Here is a 27,415-nt window from a genome sequence, read left to right on the forward strand (position 1 = left end):
AAGGCCGCAGGGACCTCTGCCTAGGAAAGCCAGGTATTGTCCAAGGTTTCTCCCCATGTGATAGTCTGAAAGATGGCCTCGTGGGAAGGGAAAGACCTGACCGTCCCCCAGCCCGACACCCCCAGCCCGACACCCGTAAAGGGTCTGTGCTGAGGAGGATTAGTAAAAGAGGAAGGAATGCCTCTTGCAGTTGAGACAAGAGGAAGGCATCTGTCTCCTGCCCGTCCCTGGGCAATGGAATGTCTCGGTATAAAACCCGATTGTATGCTCCATCTACTGAGATAGGGAAAAACCGCCTTAGGGCTGGAGGTGGGACCTGCGGGCAGCAATACTGCTTTGTAAAGCATTGAGATGTTTATGTGTATGCATATCTAAAAGCACAGCACTTAATCCTTTACATTGTCTATGATGCAAAGACCTTTGTTCACGTGTTTGTCTGCTGACCCTCTCCCCACAATTGTCTTGTGACCCTGACACATCCGCCTCTTCGAGAAACACCCACAGATGATCAATAAATACTAAGGGAACTCAGAGGCTGGCGGGATCCTCCATATGCTGAACGCTGGTTCCCCGGGTCCCCTTATTTCTTTCTCTATACTTTGTCTCTGTGTCTTTTTCTTTTCCAAATCTCTCGTCCCACCTTACGAGAAACACCCACAGGTGTGTAGGGGCAACCCACCCCTACACGCCCAGCTAATTTTTGTATTTTTAATAGAGATGGGGTTTCGCAATGTTGGCCAGGCTGGTCTCGAACTCCCGACCTCAGGTGATCTGCCCACCTTGGCCTCCCAAAGTGCTGGGATTACAGGCGTGAGCCACCATGCCTGGCCAACTTCTTGCTCTTTTTGCCACTACTTTTAAGCTGATATATTTGGAACTGAGGTAGCCTCATTCTACAGGTTTAGATCTGAAGTATTTTAACTATTGCTTCTTCCAGTGTATTTTCTGGTTTGCAGGCCAGTTTCTTCTTTAACTCATCAGTGACACAGTGGTTTGTATGGCTTTTAATTTCAAAGAATATTTTTTCAATTTGCTTTTTTGTTTTTTGCTGATTTTTATCTATGCTAATTTTAACTAGACATGTTCCCTTGATGGGCATGACTAGATTTTTTCTTCCCCACTGCGTTTATAATTTAGATGGATTTTCACATCTCAAGCCAGTTAAGAGTGTGGAAAATAGGACTCCTTAAAGCACAGATAATGACAAGTGGTTCAGATTTACAAGGGTAACTCAGGTGAGAGTGTATCATTGTACTTGGCACACAGCACTGAGTAACTATCACCTTTCATTTAAATGAATGCAGCTGTAAATGCTTTCCTAGATGTCTTGTTGATGTTTGTTAATTTCTGTAGAGTTTCATTCTGCCCCTTTCACTGTTTATCACTTGATCCTTATCACTTGAGAGTCCCCTTATTACTTGACCTGCTGTTACATTATGTTTGATTTATTACAAATACCCCATCAGCCTGGGTCTCTCTTTACTCCCTTTGTACACCTACATCTAAACATAGTGATTTGGATTATCTCAGGATCCCACATCCTCACTGTACCCCCACCCCCACCCCTACCATATCTTTCTTAAGTTTTCTAGTCCCTGCTTTTCATTTGTGCTTCTTAAATCCCAGCCCCATGCCTGACTGTGGTTCCCACTGAGTTCTGTGACAAGCATTCTACATTTATAGATATTAAATCTTTGGCCGGGTCATTTACCTGGGCTGGAATAGGGCTCTCGGCTGATCCTCCTTCCTAAACACCCTCTCAATGGGAGAGGCTGATACCCAACATGCAAACCTTGTTTTTTACTTCTCCAGGCAAAGGGATGTTGGAAGACATTCTGGAGGGGGTAGGGTGTGAAGATTTACAAATAATCTTTGAATATCTGCTTCATGATAGGTCTTGGAGGTGCCTTGTGGGTGTGGCTTTGGAGGGATGGTTACGAGGAAATTGTGGATATTAAGGAAGTCAGGAAAGGAAAAGATGACTCACTGACAATTCAACAATTGTCCTAAGGGACTTTCTGGCTGCTTGATGCCCTAGAAGCCAGGCCCTCACTTCTGTAAATGCTGGGGACTGTGGATACAGAATTTAAAGGGTCACCAAAAAAACTCAGTAATCAAGATAAACAATATTTTAATGTAATATCTTTAAAAATAAAATCAATGCAAAAAGAAAACACCCCTGTTGAACAAAACGGTCAGACTTATGCCTCCTTTCCAACACCGCCCCACCTCCACCCCACCCTCCGGAAGTTTCCTCCAAGCCGCACCTGTACCCCAGCCTCCAATAAAAACCTCGGGAATTTCCTGATCAAGCTTCGGATCCCCACCACCACCAGGGGATCTTTTGCTGTTCACCCCAAGTTCAGTCTGCATCCCCTAAAATCCTAGGGACACGCGACCAGTCTCCCCCATCTGCATTCCGGGAGTTTGCCCCAAACCAATCCTGCTCTCCGCGAAAATAGCCTTGGGGTTCCCTGTCCTGGTACACCCTCCTACTCTAGGGGACAAAGGGCCGGTGTCGCCTCCAAACTGGTGGTTCCCGCAGAGCATCGTCTCTCCCTGAGCCGCGTCTGTCCCGACCTGGCACCTGCTCAGGGAAGGGCGCATCAGGGCGGAGACTTGCGTAGTGAGCTCAGCTCACCCGCACCTTGAAGGTCAGCGCACACTGGCCACCCGCAGAGCACCGGGACCACATTTTGCAGAATCCTTCGGCAGTCCCGCGATGCCTTCGCGGTCAGCAGATCTCATTGGTTTACAGAGAAACTTGTCAACGTCACTTGGGCATCTTAAGAGTGGGTTCGTAAACTTGGTTGTGTGCGCTGTGCAGATGTCAGTCACCCTGTGTGGTGGGCAAAGCCGACTTCTCCGCCTCTGTAGCTCCGAAACTACAATCCCCAGAGGCCTCTGCGGTCACTTCCGCTCCCCTCCCTACCCTTCAGTGTGTAGCGTTGACGTCAGAAACACTTCCGGTCGGTGGCCCAGGCGCGTTAAGCTGGTTGGGACCCGGGAAGGCCTCCCTCTTAAGGTCTTTCCCACACCTCTGCACCTTGTTACCTGACTTTCGGCTTCAGGATCCGCAGCGTGCACCCGCGTTCCGTGAGTGCCCTATAGGCAGTCAGCATGCCCCTCTGCGTGTCCCTGTGTTACGGGGACGCCGGCTGGGAGCCGCAGAGCTATCTCAGAACTAGGGCGCTCTCCTTTGGGCACCTCCAGGCCATTTTCCTTTCATTCGAGCCCACAGGGTTAGAGATAAACCCTCACTCCGTTGCTTGGGGACAAGGGCTTCACTCCCTGTCCCGAGCTTGCGGCTGAGCTTGAGGGTGGCTGGGTCATCCTGGCCCCCCACTGGATGGGAATTGGCTGCTCTGGTGATTTCTGTGACATCCCAGACCCCAACTGTGGGGCTCTGGAGCGGACTGCGCTTCACTTCGTGGGGAGGGTGTTTCCACCTAGGCCACTCTTATTTCTCTTCACATCCCCAGATCTGTCTTCTGAGACTTTGCCCTTCTCCAGGAAGAGCACTCAGGAGACCAGGAAAATGGCCACAGGGCTCCTGAGAGCCAAAAAAGAGGTGAGAATTAACTGTAATTCTATCTTGGCTGTCAACAGAATGGGTCCCATTACCTTTTCTTGTCCTGGAGGCTGCCTTGTTGGTATTGGGCAAAGTCATTCCTAGCCCTAGTCATTCCTAGTCCATAGAACAAGGAGGATTTTGATATAGTCTTGTAGAGCGTCCGATTCTGTCGCTGTTCAGGGCGCCACTTGTAACCTGCACGGACCTGGTGGACTGAACAAAAGGAATAAAAGACAAGAAACAAAAAAGTATATTTGGAAGAAGGGGTCGGGGGCACTTTGTCTCTAGTGGACAAGGGCCCTGAGCTTTACACAACCCTCCCGTATTTATTGGTAAAACAGATAACAAGTTAGGGGGTGGTGATTGTCAGGTAATTGTCAGTTGGCCGTTTGGTTCGCAATTGCAAGACTGCATCCTTCCAACAATAGGCGCTAGATTTCCTGGTAGATCACTTCAAGGAGCCAGGCGCCAGGCAGTGATGGCTCTCAGCACATCTTTTGGTGGCAGTGTGCGTTTGCTCACATCCTGCATTCATGATAAACAGTTTACCGTTTAATCATATAACCTCCAGTGGAATGCTGAGTTGGTCACAATCCCTTTGGTCTTTTCGGCTCCAAACATAGTCTGACCTGAATTTTACCTTTGAGTTCATTCCTAGTCCTGGAAGAGTGCCTCGTTCTAACAGGAGTCTTCCCTCAGCATTCCTTTCTGCTCCATCCTTACCGCAGTCACTCATGAAGTAGTTAATTGTGAACAACACATATGGAGCAGTTTAAATAAAAGTAAAGAGACATACATGCGTAATTGTTCAGTGATGTGGATGAAGGGCAGGGACAGCACAGATGCCTGTGATTTCAAATGGTTAGGGAGGCCTCCTAGAAGTAGGGCTGTCTCAATTGCCCCTGACTGGTTTGTTAAGTTGGAGATTGGGGGGAAGGCATTCCAGTGGGAGGCGGCAAGGAAGCATAGATAGTTTCAGAGGCTGGACTCTCAGTGTGGAAGGATTATGGTGGCCAGTGGACTTGCTTAAGATTGAATTTTTTTTTTTTTTTTTTTTGAGACCGAGTCTCACTCTGTCATCCAGGCTGGAGTGCAGTGGCGCCATCTCGGCTCGCTGCAGACTCTGCCTCCCAGGTTCACACCATTCTTCTGCCTCAGCCTCCTGAGTAGCTGGGACTACAGGCGCTTGCCACCATGCCAGGCTAATTTTTTGTATTTTTAGTAGAGACGGGGTTTCACCGTGTCAGCCAGGATGGTCTCGATCTCCTGACCTCATGATCCACCCACCTCGGCCTCCCAAAGTGCTGGGATTACAAGTGAGATTACACCACACCCGGCTACCTATGCATATTTAAAAATCAACCTTGGCCAGGCGTGGTGGCTCAGGCCTGTAATCCCAGCACTGTGGGAGGCTGAGGCAGGCGAATCACGAGGTCAGGAGATGGAGACCATCCTGGCTGACACGGTGAAACCCTGTCTCTACTAAAAATACAAGAAATTAGCTGGGCATGGTGGCAAGCGCCTGTAGTCCCAGCTACTCGGGAGGCTGAGGCAGGAGAATCGCTTGAACCTGGGAAGCGGGGGTTGCAGTGAGCTGAGATCGCACCACTGCACTCCAGCCCGGGCAACAGAGTGAGACTCCATCTCAAAATAAATAAATAAATAAATATACATATGTTAAGATACAGACTATCTATTCACACATAGAACAAGGAGAATTTCGATATAGTCTGACCTGAATTTTACATTTGAGAGCACTTTCAGCTTCTGGCAATTGGGACATTTCCAAAATTCCAGATTCCCTGCTTCTCTGAAAATAAATCTGCCCTAAATCTGCACTGTTCTTTGGTGTCAGACAATTTGAGCTGAACAACGTCTTTATCATTTGGACGTGACCTTCAGAGTATCAGCTGCACTTTCTGCAGTGTCCTTTATACTGAGGTTGAAACCATTGACTACCTAACATTTCACCCCCCTCTCATTTTTATTACCTACCTGACCCCTGAAGGGTTTGCCTTTTCCACCTCTCGGTCAGGGTGGGGACAAATCAGAAAATGCTGAGTGCCAGGCTGAGCAGGGTAGACTTTGTCTTTGAGTAAGCTGAGTTTTGAAGGATGTTAAGAAGGGACTTGACATAAGGAAGTCAATGGTATGTGGGAAATAGTGATTGACTGTGTATAAGGACTTAAGGGGAAGCGTTCTTCTTTTTTTTGAAACGGATTCTCGGTCTGTCTTCCGGGCTGGTGCGATCTCAGCTCACTGCACCCTCTGCCTCCCAGGTTCAAACGATTCTCCTGTCCCAGCCTCCCGAGTAGCTGGGATTACAGGTGGCGCCACCAGGCCCAGCTAATCTTTTGTATCTTTAGTAGAGACGGGATTTCACCATGTTTGCCAGGCTGGTCTTGAACTCCTGACCTGGTGGTCCGCCTGCCTCGGCCTCCTAAAGTGCTGGGATTACAGGTGTGAGCCACAGCCCCCGGCCGAGGGGAAGCTTTTCTAAGCCCTGAGATTGGTGACGATGATGCCCCTGACTTAATTGAATGCAATTAACATTCATTAAGCACCAACACAGTTGCCAGGCTGTTTAACAGTCATTTTTGATATGGGTTAACTTGGTTATTTCAGATTTGCCTTGACTATCCTTATCAAGAAATCTGAGTGGAATTTAGACAGGAAAAGAGATTTCTTAATTCTGGACTCCAGTGGTGGGGATTATGCATTCCTGGATGTTATCAGAGCAACACTGAGAATTCTGTTTCTCATTTCTAAAATAGTTAATTCATTTGAGAGTGTTAATACCAGGAATACATAAGAAATCCAATTCAGGACATTTCCCAAGGTAACATTGAATATTTTTTGTGCGTACTTTCTCTTTTCTTTGAGGCGGAGTCATGCTCTGTCACCCAGGCTGCAGTGCAGTGGCACGATCTTGGCTTACTGCAGTCTCCGCCTCCTGGGTTCAAGCGATTCTCCTGCCTCAGCCTCCCGAGTAGCTGGGATTACAGGTGCATGCCACCACGCCCGGCTAATTTTTATGTTTTTAGTAGAGATGGGGTTTCGCCATGTTGGCCAGGCTGGTTTCAAACTCCTGACCTCAGGTGTTCCACCCACCTCTGCCTCCCAAAGTGCTGGGATTACAGGTGTGAGCCACTGCACCCAGCCTTTTTGTGTGTACTTTCTTCACCACTCCCAGTGTTACCAGGGAAGCATTCTTTCTGATTGGCTGGGAAAAGTCAGAAGTTTGTGGTAGCTGACTTTTCCTGTGCCACCTCCTTCATTCTCAGTAGGTCTACCCGGAACTGCCTCCTGTATATAAACAACTTGTTCTTCAATGTAGCTTTTTAACATAGTATTTACTCAGGAAAAATTAAAGGGCATGAGCATTTAAATAGTTGTTTAAGATGAAACCTCTGTGTCTCTCATGCCTAGCACACATGAAATGTTTGGTGCATGAAGGAATCACAACCTTAAGTAAACGATTTGAAGGAACTAAGTAACAAAGGAGTTTCTGTTGTTTGCTTTGGTTTGTTATTTTGGGCATGTGGTTAATCACATGTTTCAGGAGCGTTGGGTAGAATTTCCAGATACTCTTGATATGCATGGCATCTGAATTATACAAAATAATCAAAGCAAGACTATCTTAGGACATTAGGTATTACTGCCAAGGACCTTTGCCTGAGAGGATAAATTAAAATTTGTGTTAAATTTGTAACAATGAGATGAACTGGCAGGCACATTATGTTATTTTTTTTCTTAGCATTTTTCCTTTTCCTTGGTGCCATACAACAAACTTGAGTGTCTGCTATGTGCAGAACACTCAGTAGATTACAGTTAATGATGGGTAAAACACAGTCTGCACACTCAGGAGTCTTCCATTTTATTTTAGGATTCCTTTCTCATTTGGATTTAATTTAATTTTATATGCGCTCACACCCCTGCAAACATATTTTGACAGGCCCTAATGGTAAAATCATAATGGAGTAAAGTTACTGGCAGTGTATCTACCCAGCTCTATTTTTAAAGGTGTAGAAACAGCCAACACTTATCCCACTGAAAATAATTTCCATAGTAATCCATTGAATGGATGAACTCATCCATTGTTTCCCAATTTTTGGACTCCTGTTTCCAATGTTTAACTGTTGCAAATAATACTTCTATGATCAGCTTTGTACATGAAATTCTTATATAGGTTTTTATTCTCATACAAAATATGACAAGGTGAATAGACATGACTGTTTTGAAGCATTGGGCACCCACAGCAGTTGGAGATTTGAACCCTGCCAGTTTTTTTTTTTTTTTTTTTTGAGACAGAGTCTCGCTCTGTCACTCTGTCCCACTGCATCAGGCTGGGATGCAGTGGTGCAATCGATCTCGCCTCACTGCAACCTCTGCCTCCCAGGTTCGAGCAATTCTCTTGCCTCAGCCTCTTGAGTAGCTGGGATTACAGGTGCCCGCCACCACACCAGGCTAATTTTTGTATTTTTAGTAGAGACAGGGTTTCACCATATTGGCCAGGCTGGTCTCAAACTCCTGACCTCAAGTGACCCACCTGCCTTGGCCTCCCAAAGTGCTGGAATTACAGGCATGAGCACCGCGGCTGGCCCTGAACCCTGCCAGTTCTAAAGAATTTGAACTTCCAATTACTTCTTTCTTTTCTGAGACTCCCTTCTTCACCATGTGTTTCTTTATACTGTGCAATTTTTATTTTATTTTATTCATTTATTATTATTATTATTTTTGAGATGGAGTTTCATTCTTGTTGCCCAGGCTGGAGTGCAATGGCATGATCTCAGCTCACTGCAACCTCCGCCTCCCAGGTTCAAGTGATTCTCCTGCCTCAGCCTCCCAAGTAGCTGGAATTACAGGCATGTGCCACCGTGCCCAGTTCATTTTGTATTTTTAGTAGAGATGGGGTTTCACCATGTTGGTCAGATTGGTCTTGAACTCCTGACCTCTGGTGAACTACCCGCCTCGGCCTCCCAAAGTGCTGGGATTACAGGTGTGAGCCACCACGCCCAGCCCTACTGTACAACTTTTATTTGCTTTTATTTTAATTATTACACTGTGCAGATTTTGATTACCGGGGTAGACCTGCCAACTTAGGTCTCTTTCTTCTCTCACATGAAAGCTCACATAGTATCCTGATTTGTTTCCAAATGTTGACATGGTCCTTTGCCACCCACTACATGTTTCTGTAATCCTCGTTTTCCCCAACATTGCAGTAACATCACTTTTCAGAAACCTTTAGTGCCTCATTTCAGTGTCTTAGATATTTAGGACAGTCTTCATTTCAAATATTGTATCCTGTTGTCTGATGTCATGTTCTGATTATTCAGTCTGAAAGTGTGTTTATTGTTACCACAGGGGAGTCATCTTATGTGTACTTTTTTTTTTTTTTTTTTTTTTGAGACGGAGTCTGGCCCTGTCGCCCAGGCTGGAGTGCAGTGTCACGATCTCAGCTCACTGCAAGCTCCGCCTCCTGGGTTCACGCCATTCTCCTGCCTCAGCCTCCCGAGTAGCTGGGACTACAGGTGCCGACCACCACGCCCGGCTAATTTTTTGTATTGTTAGTAGAGACGGGGTGTCACCTTGTCAGCCAGGATGGTCTCGATCTCCTGACCTCATGATCTATCCACCTCGGCCTCCCAAAGTCCTGGGATTACAGGCGTGAGCCACCGCGTCTGGCCTTGTGTACTTTTAACTTAGATACATTTACTTTTTATCCACTCAGCTGAAAAAAGAGGAGAAAAATAAAAGTAGGTCAGGTCAATCTGTTTCCTTTCCCATTTAATGAATTCATGCCCAGGAGTGAGTGAGAAATGGGAGGACTGAATCTGCTGTTCTCCAAGACTAGCTTAGGAGTTTCTGACATCATGGGCATCCCAGCAAGCCAACGGTCACATTAGTCACCACGTATTTTTCATATCACGTGATCCCTCTATCAGTGTATCAGCCTTTGCTGTATAATGAACAATCCTAAACATCAATGGCTTAAAACAAAATCACTTATTAGCACATAATTTGGTAGGTTCATATTTTGGGCTGGCCGCAGGTAGGTTTTGCAGATTTCACCTGGTCTTGTCATTTTGCTGCAGTCGGCTGGCATTTTGACCAGGGCTGGAGGACTATCCATGTGTGACAGGAAGCTGGTTGGCTGGGGTGCCTAGTTTCTTCTTGGTTCTCTTCCATGTGGGCTTGGGCTTGGTCAAATGGTCTTGGGTTTCTCTATGCAGGAAGAGAGGACAGCCCCAATTAACAAGTAGTTTTAACGTTTTGGCTTTTGTCATGTTCACTGATGTCCTTTTGGCCAAAGGAAGTCACATGGCCAAGTCCAGAGTCGTCATAGAACGGGATAACATAAGGGAGTAGATACAGGGAGACATGATTTATTGGTCCCAATGATTCATACCCTTACCATGTGCAAGATTAACTCACCCCCCTCCCAAGATCCCCAAAAGTTTCATCTTGATTCAAAAGTCCAGTATCTTATGTGTAACAGTCTGGATGTAGCTAAAGCTTCTTCACTGGATCCTTTTTGAGTCAGATACCTGTATACTAAAAAGGCAAGTCATTTGTTTCCCTCCACCCCAAACATTCCCTACCTAACATACAGTGGTGAGAGAGAGATACTGCAGTAGATGCTCCCATTCAGAAAGGACAGGAATTAAGCATAGAGGAGGCCTCTCCATTTTGAACTGTTTCAGATCCTTTGGACTTCCTTGAAAGCTCTATGGGTTTCCCATGTACCAGATTTGGGACTGCTCTATTAAACAAAAGCTGAAATCACAGTCAGACAGGCCTCACATCTTTGGCAAGGTGTCGGTGCTATGGGACAATGCCCATAAGAATCTCAGAAGCCTTTTTGTCCAGCGTGGAGACTCCACTAGGCATCCCCTTAACACTTCAGAGGTTCTAAAGTTTGGGTCTTTTAGCCAAACTTTTGATTCGAACTTTACTCTGAGTTTATTTTTTTATTTTGAGACATGTGCTGGCTGGAGAGACTGAAGATGTAAAATAATTTTATTTCCAAGCTAGCAAGTCCTGACTTGTCTATATTTCCTCTGAATTACGCTTGCAAGCTGTATAATTGCTTCTTCAGCTCTTCTGTTTCTGGACATTATTATATGTCACTAGAAACATCCAACTGAATTTTTTTTTTTTTTTTTTTTGAGATGAAGTTTCACTCTTGTTGCCCAGGCTGGAGTGCAATGGAGCGATATCGGCTCACTGCAACCTCCACCTCCCAGGTTCAAGCAATTCTCCTGCCTCAGCCTCCCGAGTAGCTGGGATTACAGGCATGCGCCACCACACCTGGGTAATTTTGTATTTTTAGTAGAGACGGGGTTTCTCCATGTTGGTCAGGCTGGTCTCAAACTCCCAACCTTGGGTGATGCGCCTGCCTCGGCCTCCCAAAGTGTTGGGATTACAAATGTGAGCCACCACGCCTGGCCCAAGTGAAACTTTTAACAGGCTTTTTGGAGATCTCTTTAGCTAGATCCAAAAATTCATCAGGTATATTTTCTGTTTTCCAAGTTCATGCAGGCAATAGCTTTGCTAATATATAATACTAGTTGCCTTGTTCAAGCTGCCATATCAGTTTCATCACTCCTTTCCCAGTCCCCACTAGCAGTTTGTTTACTGGTTTTCCAGCCTGTGCTAATAGTTTTCCTGGATGCTTTCCAAGCCTCTGCCCATGTCCTGCTCCCAAAGCTAATGCCACATGTTTTAGGTATTTTGTTATGGCAGCACTTCACTTCTGTGTACCAACTTAGTGGCCTAAAGAACATAGCGGCTTAGGCCTGGTACAGTGGCTCTCACCTGTAATCCCAACACTTTGGGAGGCCGAGGCGGGCGGATCATGAGGTCAGGAGTTCGAGACCAGCCTGGCCAACATAGTGAAACCCCGTCTCTACTAAAAATACAAAAATTAGCCGGGTGTGGTGGTACACACCTGTAGTCCCAGCTACTTGGGAGGCTGAGGCGGGAGCAGGAGAATCGCTTGAACCCAGGAGGCAGAGGTTGCAGTGAGCCGAGACCACGTCATTGCACTCCAGCCTAGGTGTCAGAGTGAGACTATCTCCAAAAAATAAAGAATAAATAAAATAAAACCAAAAAAAAAAAAAAACCAAACAAACTTAGCAGCTTAAAATGAAATCATTTTTTCAAAATCCTGTGGGTCAGCAAGTAGGCCCGGCATGGCTGAGCTGATCCTCTTGGCATCCTCATGTGGCTGTAGTTAGCTGGCTGCTCAGCTACAGCTGGATGGTCTCAACCTGTCTGGTGGTTGACAGCTTGGTTGGCTGGGATGCTTCAATTCCTGGTTCTTCTCCATGTGGCCTCTTCAGCAGGCAAGCTCAGGTTATTCACATGGTGGTCTCAAGGTTTCTTGCACAGCGAGAAGGCCAGCCCTGAACTCAGATGCCTCTCAAACATCTGCTTGCATCATGTTTGCTGGTGTCCCACTGGATAAAGCAGGTCCCATGGCCAAGCCCAGGGTTAATTTAGGAGGAGACTGCATGAAGGGTAGAAACAGGGAGGCATGATTCACTGGGGCCATCACTGTACCCATCCACTGGTTAGATACAATGCTTTTGGCCGCAAGCAACAGTAAACCTAATTTAGGCTGTTCTAAACAATAAGTAACTTAGCCTATATAAAAAGAAGTTCACAGAGAGAGTGCACTTTGGGGTTGGTCCTTCAGCTCCATAAGCTTCCCAAGGACTGGGGTGCTTTCATCTCTGCAGTCTACCCTGTTCTCTACAGTGTCAGCCTCATCCAGGCTGGTTCCCCTCAAAGCCATAGGATGTCTGCCAATAGCAACTTTGTTTAATTCTCACAATGGCCCCATAAGGTAAGTACTATTATAATATCGATTTTATAGGAAATTGAGACACAGATATTAAGATATCAACGCAAAGTCATAGGGGAGGGAGGAGAGAGGGGACTGTAATTTGAACACAGTTTGTCTCCAGAGTTTGTGCTTTTAGCCACTGAGTAGTTGTTAAACTTTAGTGTGCATCAGAATTACTTGGAAGCCTTGTTCAAACATTGCTGGGCTCCCCCCGCAATTTCTGATTCAGTAGCCCTAGGATGGGGACTGAGAATTTTTATTTCTAACAAGTTCCCAGGGGATGCTGGTGCTGCAGGTTCAGGGAACACACATTGAGCCAGTGCACTAAGCCCTGCTGCCTCTTTTGGGTAATCTGTGCCCATGTTTCTGAGCATCAGGAAAAGTGCTTAATTCCTGTGACTCCATCTTACAAATGACGAAGTCTTTTGCTAGAATCCTACGGTAAGGCTTCTTGTGGCCTGTTGGTTACCATTCATTTTTCATATATTTATTTTTCAGCTGGCAAGCAGATGAATTAACTCCCCCAAGCTTCTAGCTGTGTTTCTACTCAGTGGGAGAGATTTGGAGTGAATCATGAGGGTCAACCACACAGTGTCTACAATGCTCCCTACATGCATGGTTCACAGACAAACCATGAGTTGTTCCGGGGCTGGAGGAATAACGGTTGTATTAAATGTGTTAAAGTAACACTAATTGCTCTGTGATGTAGCTCCTTCGTGGGAGATTTTCAAGGGGTGTATGTGTGTATGTTCTGAGAAGGGGTTGTAAAAGCAAATCACAACAGGGACTAGGCAGATACCTGAATAGCCTTTTTCTCTCCAGTGTTTAATGATGAACAGTTTCAGACATATGGAAAAAACCAGGAAGCCTTGTACATTGAACACTCACATACCCATCACCTAGATTCTCAGTGAGTACCTCCTTCTCATGAACTTTTCCTGATCCTCAATCCTACAGTGACCTCTCCCTCTTGAGATTACTCTGACCCAGTGATTCACAACCATCACACTACTTTTAGGAGCCTTTGAAAGTACAAAAGCCCCATCCCCTGGTTTTACGGATTTGTGGTGGGACTCAAGAATCCATAATTTAAAACACCACCCAGGTAGCTCTAAAATATAGCCAGAGAGAGATGAGGTATGAGAACCAAAGCCCTCACTCATCTGTGCTCTTCTCTTGCGATTAAGTACATTGGGACTGGCTGGGTTTGGGGACAGCTATCGATATAACTGAGTGTAGGTAGAGTCTTAAGGCCATTTCATAGTCCAGCCAGTGTAGAATAGTGGAGCTGGTAGGGGACAGGAAATGTAGGGAGGATTCCCTGGGAAGGGTACAGTGTGGAATTAGTTTTAGAGACACAATGTCATACCCTCAAGGAGTGATGGAGGCATTCTGAGAAGGGGATGCAAAATCAAAGAGACAAGGCATGTACCTAAATGAATGACGCTGGTGAGGCAGTCTCCAATAGTGTGTTGCGGCTGATAGACCCCCAGCATGAGTCACCGTCAGCCAACTGTGGTCCTACAGCAGTGCAAAGCCCAGGGTGGTCAGATTTATGGATTTTTAACATAACCCATAGATTGAGATTTTCATATGAAATCTTCCAACATTTAATTGATATAAACACAAGTTTTAAAGCAGTATATGGGTCAAATTAAACCCCTCTATGGACTGCAGATTGTACCTAAAGAGAATAAGTGTTGGGCAGGGAAGAATCCCAGTGCTAGATTTCCAGACTCATTTGGAAATCTCACCGAACTTCCATGCCAAGGACGGTTATATATTCCCATCCTCCAAAGTACAGCTTTCTAGGTAGCAGAGGTTCGTTTGAAACTTTGTTGCTTGTCTAATAATAATAAATCATTTTTGGTTATTTAAAAATATTTGACTGCTAAGTGTTTGCAGATTCTGTTGTAGACACCAGGGCAATCACAGTGATCCAGCCATGCACATGGAACTGATGTCTTAGTGGGAAGTCAGAAAATAGAAATGAATATAATGTATTATCTTAGAGTTAAGGCAACACAATAAAGCAGGAGAGGGGAATGAAACCCGCATGAGAGCATGGAATTTTACATAGAACGGCCAGGGACTGCACTGGGCATTTTGTCTGAGCCCTTCACAGTAATCCTAATCCTCACCACAAGCTGTGAGATAAGCACTGTTATTTTTAGTTCGCAGGAGAAACTGACGTGCTGAGCAGCTAATTCAGTGCCTGAGGTTACACTAGTTGTGGACAGAGATGGGTTCCAAATCCAGATAGTATGGGTTGAATCCACGCTCTTCATCACCACCCACTTTCCCTCCTTAGGCCTGAGCAGGCACGTGGCAGCATTTGGTAGAGGAAGGAGTGAGCCCTGCTGTAGGAACTATATATATTGGTGAGTTATTTGCCCCCAAGCCCCAGAGGCACCACTGCTTCAAGTAGAACAAATAGTGAGACCAAGTAGTCTCAGAAAATTTTCAAACTCAGCAAGATAATTCTTTACTATTTAGTTGTACTTGTGTGGTGTCTTCTTCTCCCTGCCTAGTTTTGAAACGCCCTCTAGGTAAGGGCTTTGGTTTTGTTTGCTCTTATCCTCCCTAGCAGCTAGCCTGGGATATTGACAGTAAGTAACAGGTGCATAAATGATGCTGGCTCGGCAGAGATAGGAGAATAATGGTCTTTCACTCCTTGGTGCCAAGGTCACAATCCAAAGTAGGGTCTAGAAATCTTTCCTACTTCCCTCAGGGAAGCCTTTTGACCTCTCATTCTTTTTTTTTTTTTTTGAGACAGAGTTTTGCTCTTGTTGCCCAGGCTGGAGTGCAATGGCGCAATCTCGGCTTACCGCAAGTAACTGGGATTACAGGCATGCGCCACCACACCTGACTAATTTTGTATTTTTAGTAGAGACGGGGTTTCTCCATATTGGTCAGGCTGATCTCAAACTCTCGACCTCAGGTGATCCGCCCACCTTGGCCTCCCAAAGTGCTGGGATTACAGGCATGAACCACCGGGCCTGGCCTTGACCTCTCATTCTAAAGTGTGGGAGGGAAAGACAGGCTCCTGGGTGAGCAGAGGTGTGTTTTGTGTTAAAGGCGTTCGTGGCATTCAGGGATGTGGCTGTGTACTTCACCCAGGAGGAGTGGAGGTTGTTGAGCCCTGCTCAGAGGACCCTGCACAGGGAGGTGATGCTGGAGACTTATAACCATCTGGTCTCACTGGGTAAGAATGGCCTCCCTTGGCACTTAAAATCTGCCCTACAGAGTATTTTCCACTCATCGTGAGGAAGGGCTACCTGCAGAGCACCTTTCCCTTAGAGTTGAGCTTGAAAACAATTTACTTTTTTCCTCTGGGTAAATCTGGATTTAGTAGAATTGAAAGCAGACAGATTGATTTATTCATGTTATGGATGACACTACATTTCCAGGCCTGTTTCCCAAGGCTTGTGCTCTCTCTTTATTTTGCTTCAAACCCAGGAAATTTTTCATACACCAAGTGTTCATAATATGCCATCTTTCTGACTGGAGTCACCTTTCCTTAGTCAACCCTTCTACTTCAGAGAGAGAACTATTCATAGGTCTTTTTTATCCTCTGGGTTTCCTCACCCATTTCAGCTCTGAGTTCTAGAATGCCCTCTTGAGCCCATAACCAACAATGTCCTCATTTTCTTCCCTATGAACAGAAATTCCATCTTCTAAACCAAAACTCATTGCTCAGCTGGAGCGAGGGGAAGCGCCCTGGAGAGAGGAGAGAAAATGTCCACTGGACCTCTGTCCAGGTGAGTGTTGAGTGTGGGGTAGACGGGATAATCCACAGCTTGGCAGATAGGAAGGAGGAGGCATCTCTCAGATACTGGGAAGAAGCTCTTCTTCAGGCCTCCTAAGCCAAGAGAAACGTTGCCTGACATGGTCTTCTTTCCGGAACATAATCTTCAGTTGAGGGAGGGACTTCCCTGGTTCCCTTGTCTCTTCCCTACACCAGGAAGCCTCCCTTCCTCATTTGTCTTCTCCGTAATGCTTAGTCTTTCCTCATTCACTGTCTTCTTTCTCACCTGATCTTAAAAATTGCATCTACCCATGAATGTTAAGTCTACGACACTTCTAGATACTTTCTAGCTACTCTTATGCTAAGATTAATTGATTAACTCCACCTCTCCAATTCCCATAACTTATTACACAATACTTAAGCTATGACTAATAATAAAATACATACTCATGTGCCAATGTCCCAGCTTAAGAAATAAAAAATGACCTAAACAGTCGAAACCCCTATTTCCCCTTCCCTGATGGTATCCTCTACCCATCCCTCCAATGGAATTGTTTTTCAGTATTAGGGATTTGTAATTCTCATGCATGGCTTTATCATTTCCTTCATATGTATGAATCGCTAAATCATCTATATTGTTGTTTGGCATATTTTAAAACTTTATATCAATGTCATCATATTATGTATGTATTTTGTTTTCTTCCCTGAGACTAATTTTGTACTATGTTGGTATATGTAGCTCTGCTTCATTCATTTTTGTGGCTATATAATATTGTATTTTATGCATAATTATAATACAATTCATTTATCCATTCCATTTTTGTTGGACAGTTACAGTTCTAACAGTGTATTCTTTTGACCCACTAAAGAATGTTGCTGTGAACCTTCTCATAGATATGTCCTTGGGCACATAAGCACCCGTTTATCTAGGATATGTACCTAGGAATAGGACAGCTGAGTAAAAGAATATGCACCTGGTCAGTCTGACAAGGTAATGCCAAACTATTCTCCAAAGTTGTTGTATTAGTGTTCTAGGGCTGCCACAACAAAGTACCACAAACTGAGTGGCTTAAACAACAGAAGTTTATTTTCTCACAGTTCTGGAGGCTAGAAGTAGAGATGAAGGTGTTGGTAGGGTTGGTTCCTTTTGAGGGTTGTGAGGAAGAATCTGTCCCATGCCTCTCCTCTAGCTTCTGGAGGTTTGCTGGCAATCCATGGCGTGGAGGAGCAGAGTCCCAGTCTCTGCCTTCATCTTCATATAGCATTCTCCCTGTGTGTGTGTCTCTGTGTCCAAATTTTCCTTGTTTGTAAGGACATTATTCATACTGGATTAGGACCCACTCTAATGACCTCATCTTAACTAATTACATCTGCAACAACCCTGTTTCCAAATAAGTTCATCTTTTGAGATATTAGGGGTTTGGACTCCAATATGTCATTTTTTGGGGAAACAGAACTCAACCTATAGCAATTGCTTACACTCACATAGCATTTTATTGTTTGAGGATTCTAGTTGCCCTACATCCTTCCTAATACTTTGTGTGGTCAGACTTTAGGTTTTGATCATCTTTTGGGTATGAAATGGCCTCTCATAGTAGTTGTAATTTGATTAGTTTTGAGTTTGAGCATCTTTTTATATGTTCATTCCTTGACTGGCCTTGGTGTTTGCTCTTCTGTGAAGCCTTTTCAATTCTTTTGCTTTTCTTCTTGTTGATTTGAATTTGAATTTTTAAAAATAAATCATTGAGGTGAACTCTTTATCAGATGTTCCAATCTGTGGCCTACCTCCTTGCTTTTTTTATTTTTTTTTATTGAGATGGAGTCTTGCTCTGTCACCCAGCCAGGAGTGCAGTGGCATGATCTCAGCTCACAGCAACCTCTGCCTCCCAGGTTCAAGCGATCCTGCTGTCTCAGCCTCCTGAATAGCGGGGACTACAGGCGTGTGCCACCATGCCTGGCTGGTTTTTGTATTTTTAGTAGAGACGGGGTTTCACCATGTTGGCCAGGCTGGTCTTGAACTGCTGACCTGAAGTGATCCACCTGCCTTGGTCTCCCAAAATGCTGGGATTACAGACGTGAGCCACCACGCCCGGCCCCCACTGGCCTTTTTTTTTTTTTTTTTTTAATACAGAGTCTCGCTTTGTTGCCAGGCTGGAGTGCAAAGGCGCAATCTCGGCTCACTGCAACCTCCGCCTATCAGGTTCAAGGATTACAGACGTGAGCCACCACGCCCGGCCCCCACTGGCCTTTTTTTTTTTTTTTTTTTTTTTTAATACAGAGTCTCGCTCTGTTGCCAGGCTGGAGTGCAAAGGCGCAATCTCGGCTCACTGCAACCTCCGCCTATCAGGTTCAAGCAATTCTCCTGCCTCAGCCTCCCGAGTAGCTGGGACTACATGCATGCCACCACGCCCGGCTAACTTTTTTGTATTTTTAGTGTTAGCCAGGATGGTCTCCATCTCCTGACCTCATGATCCGCCCACCTCAGCCTCCCAAAGTGCTGGGATTACAGGCGTGAGCCACTTTACCTGATGCCCTGCTTGCTATTTAAACAAACTGTGAAATAATTTGTCTCAATTTATAAAAATAATACAGAGAGTTTCCATTTACTCTTCACCCTGCTTTCCCCAATGATAATATCTTATATAACCACAGTACATTTCAAAACCAGGTAACTGACATTGGTACAGTACTATTGAGTAAACTAAAGACTTTATTCAGATTCAGATTTCATCAGTTTTTGCATGTACTCTTTTTTTTAATTGTTGCTCTATAGTAGTATGAAATTTCATTACATAAATAAGATTTATGTAGCCACCATCACCACAATAAAGATGTAGAACTCTTCTATCACTACAAAGAAAACTCTCCTGTGCTATCTTCCCTCCAATCTTAACCCCTGGCAACTACTGATCTGTTCCCCATCACTATAATTCTTTTTGCTTTTTTTTTTTTTTTTTTTTTTGAGACAGAATTTTGTTCTTGTCCCCCAGGCTGGAGTGCAGTGGTGCAATCCCAGCTCACTGCAACCTCGGCCTACTGGACTCAAGCGATTCTCCTGCCTCAGCCTCCTGAGTAGCTGGGACTACAGGCATGTGCCACCATGCCTGGCTAATTTTGTATTTTTAGTAGAGACGGGGTTTCACCATGTTGGCCAACCTAGTCTCGAACTCCTGACCTCAGGTGATCCACCCACCTCGGCCTCCCAAAGTGCTGGGATTACAGGCGTGAACCACTTGTGCCCAGCCTCAAATTTTATTTCTACTAAAATATATAATTATTCTTATGCTACATTTCTTCATGTGTCAGTCTTTTTAAATTTGTGTATTTTAATTAATTTGTCCACTTAACCTCAGCAGTTAAATTTGTTGGCATAATGTTCATAATATTCCCAAATTTCTTTAAAAGTGTGTATATTTCTCTAGTGGTGCTTCCTCTTTCATTCCCCATATTGTGATTTAAAACATTTTGGGGGTATTTTATCTAAAGGTTTATTAATTTTATGGATTTTTGCAAAGAGTCAACTTTTGGTTTCATTGATTTTCTGTAGTATTAATCTATATCCCATTTAAGTGATTTTTATTTGTATCTTTTTCTGCATTCTACTTTCTTTGGGTTTAATTTCCTCTTCTTCTTACTTCCTGAGGTAGAAGCTTAGGTCATTGGTATAGACCTTCTTTTCTAATACAATCACATATATATCTGTACATTTATTTCTAAGCCTTGCTTTAGCTGAATCCTACAACTTTTGGTGTGTTGTGTTTTCTTTATCATTTAGTTCATGATATTTTCTAATTTTCTTATTTTTTAACCTATTGGTTGTTTAGAAGTGAGCTGCTTAATTTCCAGATATTCAGGTATTTTCTAAATGTTTTATTTTTATTGGTTTTCAATTTAATTGTATTTTGTTGAGAGAATGTATTCTGTATATTTTCAATCTTTCAAAGTCTGTTGAGATTAATTTTATGGCACAGCATATGATCTATTTTTGTGAACATCCTATGAGCTCTTAAAAGGAATGTGTATTCTGCAGTTGTTGAGGGTACTATCCTATAAATGTCAGATAGGTCATATTGGTAATATTTTTCAGATGATTGATATCCTTACTGAGTTTTTGATCTTATTTTTCTATCCATTACTGCAAAGGTGTGTTAACATATCATTGTGGATTTGTCTATGTCTCTGTAGTGATCTCTAAGGTTTTGATTCATACAGTTAGTAATTTTGCTATGAGGCACATGTACATTAATAATTGTTACGTCTTCTTATTGACCTTTTTATCATTATGGAATTTCCTCCTTTGTTTTTTAGCAATACCGCTTGTCTTCAGGTCTGTTATCTGATATTAATATAGCTACTCCAGGCTTTTTTTTTTTTGAGACAGAGTTTTGCTTTTGTTGCCCAGGCTGGAGTGCAGTGGCACTTTCTCGGGCGTGGCTTGGAGATGCCACGACCAAACACCTCTTAAAGGCCTCCTGGCTTCAAGTGATTCTCCTGCTTCAGCCTCCTGAGTAGCTGGGATTACAGGTGCCCACTACCACGCCTGGCTAATTTTTTTCCTATTTTTAGTAGAGACAGGATTTCACCATGTTGGCCAGGCTGGTCTCGAACTCCTGGCCTCAGGTGATCCACCTGCCTCTGCCTCCCAAAGTGCTGGGATTACAGACGTGAGCCACCATGTCTGGCCCATTCCAGCTTTTTAATATTTACTCTTTCCGTGGCATACCTTTGTCCATTCTTTATATTTCAATCTTTTTATTTGCGTCTTTGTATTTAAAATGAGTCTCTTATAGACAGCATATAGTTGATTTTTTTCTTCTTTATCCAGTTTGCCAATCTCTACGTTTTGTTGGAGTATTGAATGCATTAGCACTCAAATGTTATTGTTGATAAGTAAGGTTATTTCTACTTTTGCCAGATTTTTCTTTGTTTTCTCCAATGTGTTTTTACTTGCTCTGTTTTCTTTAGCCTACTTTTGTTTTAATGTTTTAATAAAATACTTTTTAGATTCTTTTTTCTTTTTTTTTTTTTTTTTTGAGACATAGTCTCACTCTGTCACCGAGACTGGAGTGCAGTGGTGAGATCTTGGCTCAGTCATCCTCTGCCTCCTGGGTTCAAGGGATTCTCCTGCCTCAGCTTCCCGAGTAGCTGGGACTAGGGGCGCACGCTACTACGCCCAGCTAATTTTTGTATTGTCAGTAGAGATGGGATTTCACCATGTTGGCCAGGCTGGTCTCGAACTCCTGACCTCAAGTGATCTGCCTGCCTCAGCCTCCCAAAGTGTTCAGATTACAGGCGTGAGCCACCGCGCCCGGCTCCTTTTTCGATCTTCATGTTAATTTCTCTCAGCTATCTAGCTATGTATCTGCCTTGTGTGTGTTCATGACTTTTCCAGGGCTTACAATATGTATTTTTAACTTAAACCAATTAGAGTTATTATTTGTTTAAGGTAATGTAAGAATCTCACAAGAGTATGTTTACATTCCCCTCATCTTCAGTGCTGTTGTCATATACATTATTTCTGTAAACATCCTAAACCCAATACTACAGTGTTAAAATTTTTAAGCCATCGTATAGTAATACGTATTTTTAAAGAAATTAAGGTAAATGTATGTAGAAATATGTGTGTGTGCTTTATATCTGTCACATTTCTTATGCTCTTCACTCCTTAATGTAGATACAAGTTGCCATCTGATACCATTTTCCTTCATCCTGAAAGACTTCCTTTAACATTTAGTACAGTTACCTGGCATTGGATTTTCCATTTTAATCTGAAAAGATTATTTTCTCTCCAGTTTGCGAAAATTAACTGGAGATAGAATCGCTGGTTAACATATTTTTCTCTGGCATTGCAGTGTCTTCTGGCTTTCATAGTTTTGTAATTTTTGTTGAGTAATTATTATATTGTTCTTTTATATTTTGATCTTCTCTGGCTGTCTTCAAGATTTTCTCGTTATCTTTGGCCTTCAGCAGTTTGACCGTGATGTTTCTATGAGCCGTTTTCTTTGTGTTTCTACTACTTAAGCATTATGAAGCTTCTTGGCTCTCTAAGTTTTATTTTCTATTCACTGTGAGAAGTACTTGGCTATTATTTCAATATTTTTCCTGTCCCTTTTACTCTTTCCTCTCATTCTAGGACTCCCAATTTACCTGTATATTGGACTGCTGGAAATGTGTTTCTGAAGATTCATATTGTCTCATAAGCTTCTGTTCATTTTTCTTCAGTCTTTTTTCTCTTTTTTGAGGGGTGGGTGGATATATGTAATTTCTATTCTTTTATTTTCAAATTCACTAATCTTTCTTCTTTTTCTGTTTGCTATTAAACCTGTCTAGTGAATTTTTAAATTTCAGTTGTTTTTTTCTTTCCCCCTCCCCTCCTCTCCCCTCCTCTCCCCTCCCCTCCCCTCCCCTCCCCTCCCCTCCCCTCCTCTTGTTTCTGTGGGTTTTAGGAGTGCTCTCAGGCAAGAAAGCCACAAACAAAATTATTACCCCTTTCTGTTGCAATTTTTTGAGCATAAACTCTTCCCCATCTTCTGGCTGGTTATGTATATTTTCCAGTGCCTTTGAGTAGTTATTTGTTATATTTTATCCAGTCTTATTATTTTCTGCTGCAGGGTTCTTGTGACCATTTCAGTCTGCTGGCATTTTCGTTAGTGGGCTTCCTCATACTTATTTTTGAATTGATTTTTGGAAATTGCTTCAAAATTACAGAATATTTGCAAAAATAAAAATAGTAGAATAAATATATATGGTGCAGTGAGTTGTATGTGGTTTGTCCCCACCACAACTCATGGTGAAATTTAATTGCCAGTTTAACGGTATTGAAAGGTGGTGGGGCCTTTAAGAGGTGTTTGGTTGTGGCATCTCTGCCCTCTCGAATGGCTTATGCAGACTGGGTTAGTTCTTTTGGACTGGGTTGGTTCTCGTGAGATCAAGTTGTTATAAAACAAGGCTTCCTCTGATGTTTGGCCTCTTTGCATGCACTTGCTTTCCCTTCCTCTTTCTGCTGTGATTTGAAGCAGCATGAGACCATCACCAAATGGGCTACCATCCAACCTCCAGAATTGTGAGCCAAATAAACTTTTTTGTAAATTACCCAGTCTCAGGTATTCTGTTATAGCAATACAAAACAGATTAAGACATATGGCATATATGTTATTATATAAATGGCATCATAAAATGACCTACTATTTTACTTAGTTTGCTTTATCATTTATTCATGTGCTCTTTTGCATGCATACCCTTCCTCCTTCCTTCCCCTTTCTCAGTACATATGTATGTATGTGTATATGTATATGTATGTTCATATGTGTTTGTTTTGTTTTTGTCTTTGTTTTTGTTTTTGTTTTTTGAGACAGAGTCTCGCTCTGTCACCCAGGCTGGAGTGCAGTGGCACGATCTCGGCTCACTGCAACCTCCGCCTCCTGGGTTCAAGCGATTCTCCTGCCTCAGCCTCCCAAGTAGCTGGGATTACAGGTGCACGCCACCATGCCTGGCTAATTTTTGTGTTTTTAGTAGAGACAGGGTTTCACCATGTTAGTCAGGCTGGTCTTGAACACCTGACCTCATGATCTGCTCACCTCGGTCTCCCAAAGTGCTGGGATTACAGGCGTGAGCCACCACCCCCGGCCTGTAAGTGTTTGTTTCTGTGAATTTTCTAAGAATGTCGATATTGTCTCATATAACCACAGTGTGGTTATCAGCCTCAGTAAACTTAACTTTGATACAGTCATTTTGCCTGTTATCTACCATTCGTATTATAATTTTGTCAACATATAGAATAATATGGTTTTTTACTTTCCAGAACATAATCTAGTCCAAGGTTAGTTAGTTCATTTTCATGTCATGTCTATAATTATTATTAAGGGAAGGGAATTATTATTTCAATAATCTTTCTCTGTCTTTTATAACATTGACATTTCATTTGTTTATTTAATTTTAGATTCAGAGTGTACATGTGCAGGTTTGTTACATGGGTATATTATGTAATGCTGGGGTTTGGGGCTTCTATTGAACCTATCACCCAAATAGTTTACATAGTACCTGATAGGTAGTTTTTCAGCCCTTACCTCCATCCTTTTTCCCCTGTTTTGGAGTCCCCAGTGTCTATTATTTCCATCTTTATGTCCGTGTGTACCCATTGTTTAGCTCCTACTTGTGAGAACATAGGTTATTTGATTTTCTGTTTCTGCATTGATTCACTTAGGATGATGGCCTCTAGCTGCATCCATGTTGCTGCAGAGGACATGATTTCATTCTTTTTTATGGCTGCATAGTATTTCATGGTGTGTGTGTACCACATTTTATTTATCCAGTCCACTATTGATGGGCCTATACGAAGATTCCATGACTTTGCTGTTGGGAATAGTGCTGCGATAAGCATACGAGTGCAGGTGTCTTCTGGTAGAACAATTTATTTTCCCAGTCTTGGGATTGTTGGATTGAATGGTAGTTCTATTTTTAGTTCCTTGAGAAATTTCCATACTGTTTGCCATACAGGTTGAACTAATTTACATGACCACCAACAATATATAAGCATTCCCTGTTCTGTGCATCCTCACTAACATCTGTTTTTTTGTTTGTTTGTTTGTTTGTTTAACTTTTTAATAATAGCCATTCTGACTGGTGTGAGATGGCCTATCTTCTTGTGGGTTTTCTTTTCCCATCCTTCACTGGTACCAAGATCTCTTTGTGGTTGTAATTTGTATTTCTCTGATGATTAGTGATTTTGAGCATTTTTTATGTTTGCTCCCTGTTTGTGTACCTTCTTTTGAGAAGTATCTGTTTATGTCCTTTGCTCACTTTTTAATGAGGTTATTTGGGTTTTTGTTGTTGATTTGTTTAAGTTCCTTATGTTTCTGCATATTAGTCCTTTGTAAGATGCATGGTTCGCAAATGCTTTCTCCCATTCTGTAGGTTGTCTTTTTACTCTGTTGATTGTTTCTTTTGCAGTGCAGAAGCTCTTTTGCTTAATTAAATCATATTTGTCCATTTTTGTTTTTGTTGCAATCGCTTTTGAGGACTTAGTCATAAGTTCTTTGCCTTGGCCAATGTCCAGAGAAGTTTTTCCTAGTTTTCCTTTAGGAATTTTATAGTTTGAGGTCTTACATTTAAGTCTTTCATCCATCTTGAGTTGATTTGTGTATATGAGGGGGAAGGGTCCAGTTTCATTCTCTTGCATGTGGCTGGACAGTTTTCCCAGCATCATTTATTGAATAGGGTGTCCTTTCCCCATTGTTTATTTCTGTCAGCTTTCTCGTAGATCAGTTGGTAGTAGGTGTGTGGTTTTATTTCTGGGTTCTCTGTTCTGTTCCGTAGATCTATATGTCTATTTTTGTACTTACACCGTGCTGTTTCAGTTAATATAGCCTTGTAGTATAGTCAAAGTCAGGTAATGTGATATTTCCAGCTTTGTTCTTTTTGTTTAGGATTGCTTTGGCTAGTCAGGCTTTGTTGGTCCCATATGAATTTTAGAATTGTTTTTTCTAGTTCTGTTAGAATGTTAGAATGACAAATGATGTTGGTAATTTGATAGGAATTGCATTGAATCTGTAGATTGCTTTGGGCAGTATCATCATTTTAACTATATTGATTCTTAACAATCTATGAGCATAGAATGTTTTTCCCTTTGTGTCATCTGTGATTTCTTTCATCAGTGTTTTGTAGTTCTCCTCGCAGAGACCTTTCACCTCTTTGGTTTGATGTATTCTTAGGCATTTTGTGTGTGTTTGCATTCGTGTGGCTATTGTAAATGGGATCTTGTTCTTTATTTGGCTCTAAGCTTGAATGTTACTGGTGTATAGAAATGCTATTGATTTTTGTACATTGATTTTGTATCCTGGAACTTTACTGAATTTTTTTTTTTAATCAGGTTTAGGAGTCTTTTGGAGGGACCTTTAGAGTTTTCTAGGTATAGGATTATTTTCTAGGTATAGGATTTTCTAGGTAAAGGATTCTTGGCGAACAGAGATAATTTGACTCCCTCTTTTCCTATTTGGATGCCTTTTATTTCTCTGTCTTGCATGATTGCTTTCTCTAGGACTTCCAGTACTAAGTTGAATACGAGTGGTGAGAGCAGACATCCTTTTCTTGTTCCACTTCTTAGGGGGAATGGTTTCAGCTTTCGCCCATTCAGTATGAAGTTGGCTGTAGGTCTGTCACAGATAACTCTTCTTATTTTGAGGTATGTTCCTTTGATGCCTAGTTTGTTAAAGATTTTTATCATGAAGGGGTGTTGGATTTTATCCGATGCTTTTTTTACATCTATTAAGATGATCTTTTTTTTTTTTTTTTTTTTTTTTTGTTTGAGACGGAGTCTTGCTCTGTCACCCTGGCTGGAGTGCAGTGGCGCGATCTCGGCTCACTGCAAGCTCCGTCTCCCAGGTTCACACTATTCTCCTGCCTCAGCCTCTCTGAGTAGCTGGAACTACAGGCGCCCACCACCAAGCCTGGCTATATTTTTGTATTTTTTTAGTAGAGATGGGGTTTCACCGTGGTCTCAATCTCCTGACCTCGTGATCCGCCCGCCTCAGCCTCCCAAAGTGCTAGGATTACAAGCATGAGCCACCACACCTGGCCGGTTTTTGTTTTTAATCCTGTTTATGTGATGAATCACATTTATTGAACACTGACATTTTAGAATACAATTCCTCAGTTCTCACTTTTTTTTTTTTTCTTTTTTGAGATGAAGTCTCACTCTGTTGCCTAGGCTGGAGTGCAGTGGCGCGATCTCGGCTCACTGCAACCTCCACCTCCTGGTTTCAAGCAGTTCTCTGCCTCAGCCTCCCGATTAGCTGGGACTACAGGTGCGTGCCACCATGCCTGGCTAAGTTTTGTATTTTTAGTAGAGACAGGATTTCACCATCTTGGCCAGGCTTGTCTTGAACTCTTGCCCTCAGGTGATCCACCCACCTTGGCCTCCCAAAGTGCTGGGATTACAGGCGTGAGCTACCGCGCCTGGCCAGTTCTCACTTTTTAAAATAGCTTTACTGAGGTATAATTTACATGCCATAAAATTACTTATTGTATGTATACAGTTCAATATATATATATTTTTTTTTTGAGATGGAGTTTCACTGTTGTAGCCCATGCTGGAGTGCAGTGGCACAATCTCGGCTCACTGCAACCTCTGCCTCCTGGGTTCAAGTGATTCTCCTGCCTCAGCCTCCCGAGTAGCTGGGATTACAGGCATGTACCACCAGGCCTGGCTAATTTTGTATTTTTGGTAAAGACAGGGTTTCTCCAT

At 43.0% G+C, this 27,415-nt stretch overlaps 1 protein-coding gene across 70 annotated transcripts in view, besides 4 other annotated features; it reads left to right on the forward strand.

Annotated features, from left to right (window-relative positions):
* ZNF875 (zinc finger protein 875) overlaps positions 1–27,415 on the forward strand; it is a 51,619-nt gene that overhangs the window by 18,850 nt on the left and 5,354 nt on the right. For 15 of the 70 annotated variants that reach the window (NR_138109.2, XM_047438686.1, XM_017026675.2 and 12 more), the window contains 2 exons: positions 15,504–15,630; positions 16,091–16,186. Coding sequence is in view for 39 of the 70 variants with exons in the window: in XM_047438686.1 (XP_047294642.1) it covers positions 15,504–15,630; positions 16,091–16,186 (223 nt within the window). In the remaining 31 variants the exon portion in view is untranslated. Of the gene's footprint in view, positions 1–2,937; positions 3,572–7,879; positions 15,631–16,090; positions 16,187–26,275; positions 26,354–26,854; positions 26,976–27,415 lie in introns of those variants that run through there. The other 55 variants (NR_138130.2, NR_138128.2, NM_001329762.2 and 52 more) reach the window with 32 other exon arrangements.
* Positions 1,970–2,912: an enhancer, noted in NCBI's record as "H3K27ac-H3K4me1 hESC enhancer chr19:37824558-37825500 (GRCh37/hg19 assembly coordinates)". NCBI's record gives its function as "activates a minimal SCP1, AML or CMV promoter by ChIP-STARR-seq in naive H9 embryonic stem cells {active_cell/tissue: H9 hESC(naive)}" and the evidence as "EXISTENCE:reporter gene assay evidence [ECO:0000049][PMID:30033119]".
* Positions 2,708–2,817: an enhancer, noted in NCBI's record as "active region_14542". NCBI's record gives its function as "activates an Ori minimal core promoter by ATAC-STARR-seq in GM12878 lymphoblastoid cells {active_cell/tissue: GM12878}" and the evidence as "EXISTENCE:reporter gene assay evidence [ECO:0000049][PMID:35858748]".
* Positions 2,913–3,854: an enhancer, noted in NCBI's record as "H3K27ac-H3K4me1 hESC enhancer chr19:37825501-37826442 (GRCh37/hg19 assembly coordinates)". NCBI's record gives its function as "activates a minimal SCP1, AML or CMV promoter by ChIP-STARR-seq in naive H9 embryonic stem cells {active_cell/tissue: H9 hESC(naive)}" and the evidence as "EXISTENCE:reporter gene assay evidence [ECO:0000049][PMID:30033119]".
* Positions 3,028–3,127: an enhancer, noted in NCBI's record as "active region_14543". NCBI's record gives its function as "activates an Ori minimal core promoter by ATAC-STARR-seq in GM12878 lymphoblastoid cells {active_cell/tissue: GM12878}" and the evidence as "EXISTENCE:reporter gene assay evidence [ECO:0000049][PMID:35858748]".

The sequence above is a fragment of the Homo sapiens genome, chromosome 19 (genome assembly GCF_000001405.40).
Source record: "Homo sapiens chromosome 19, GRCh38.p14 Primary Assembly".
NCBI classification, from domain to species: domain Eukaryota; kingdom Metazoa; phylum Chordata; class Mammalia; order Primates; family Hominidae; genus Homo; species Homo sapiens.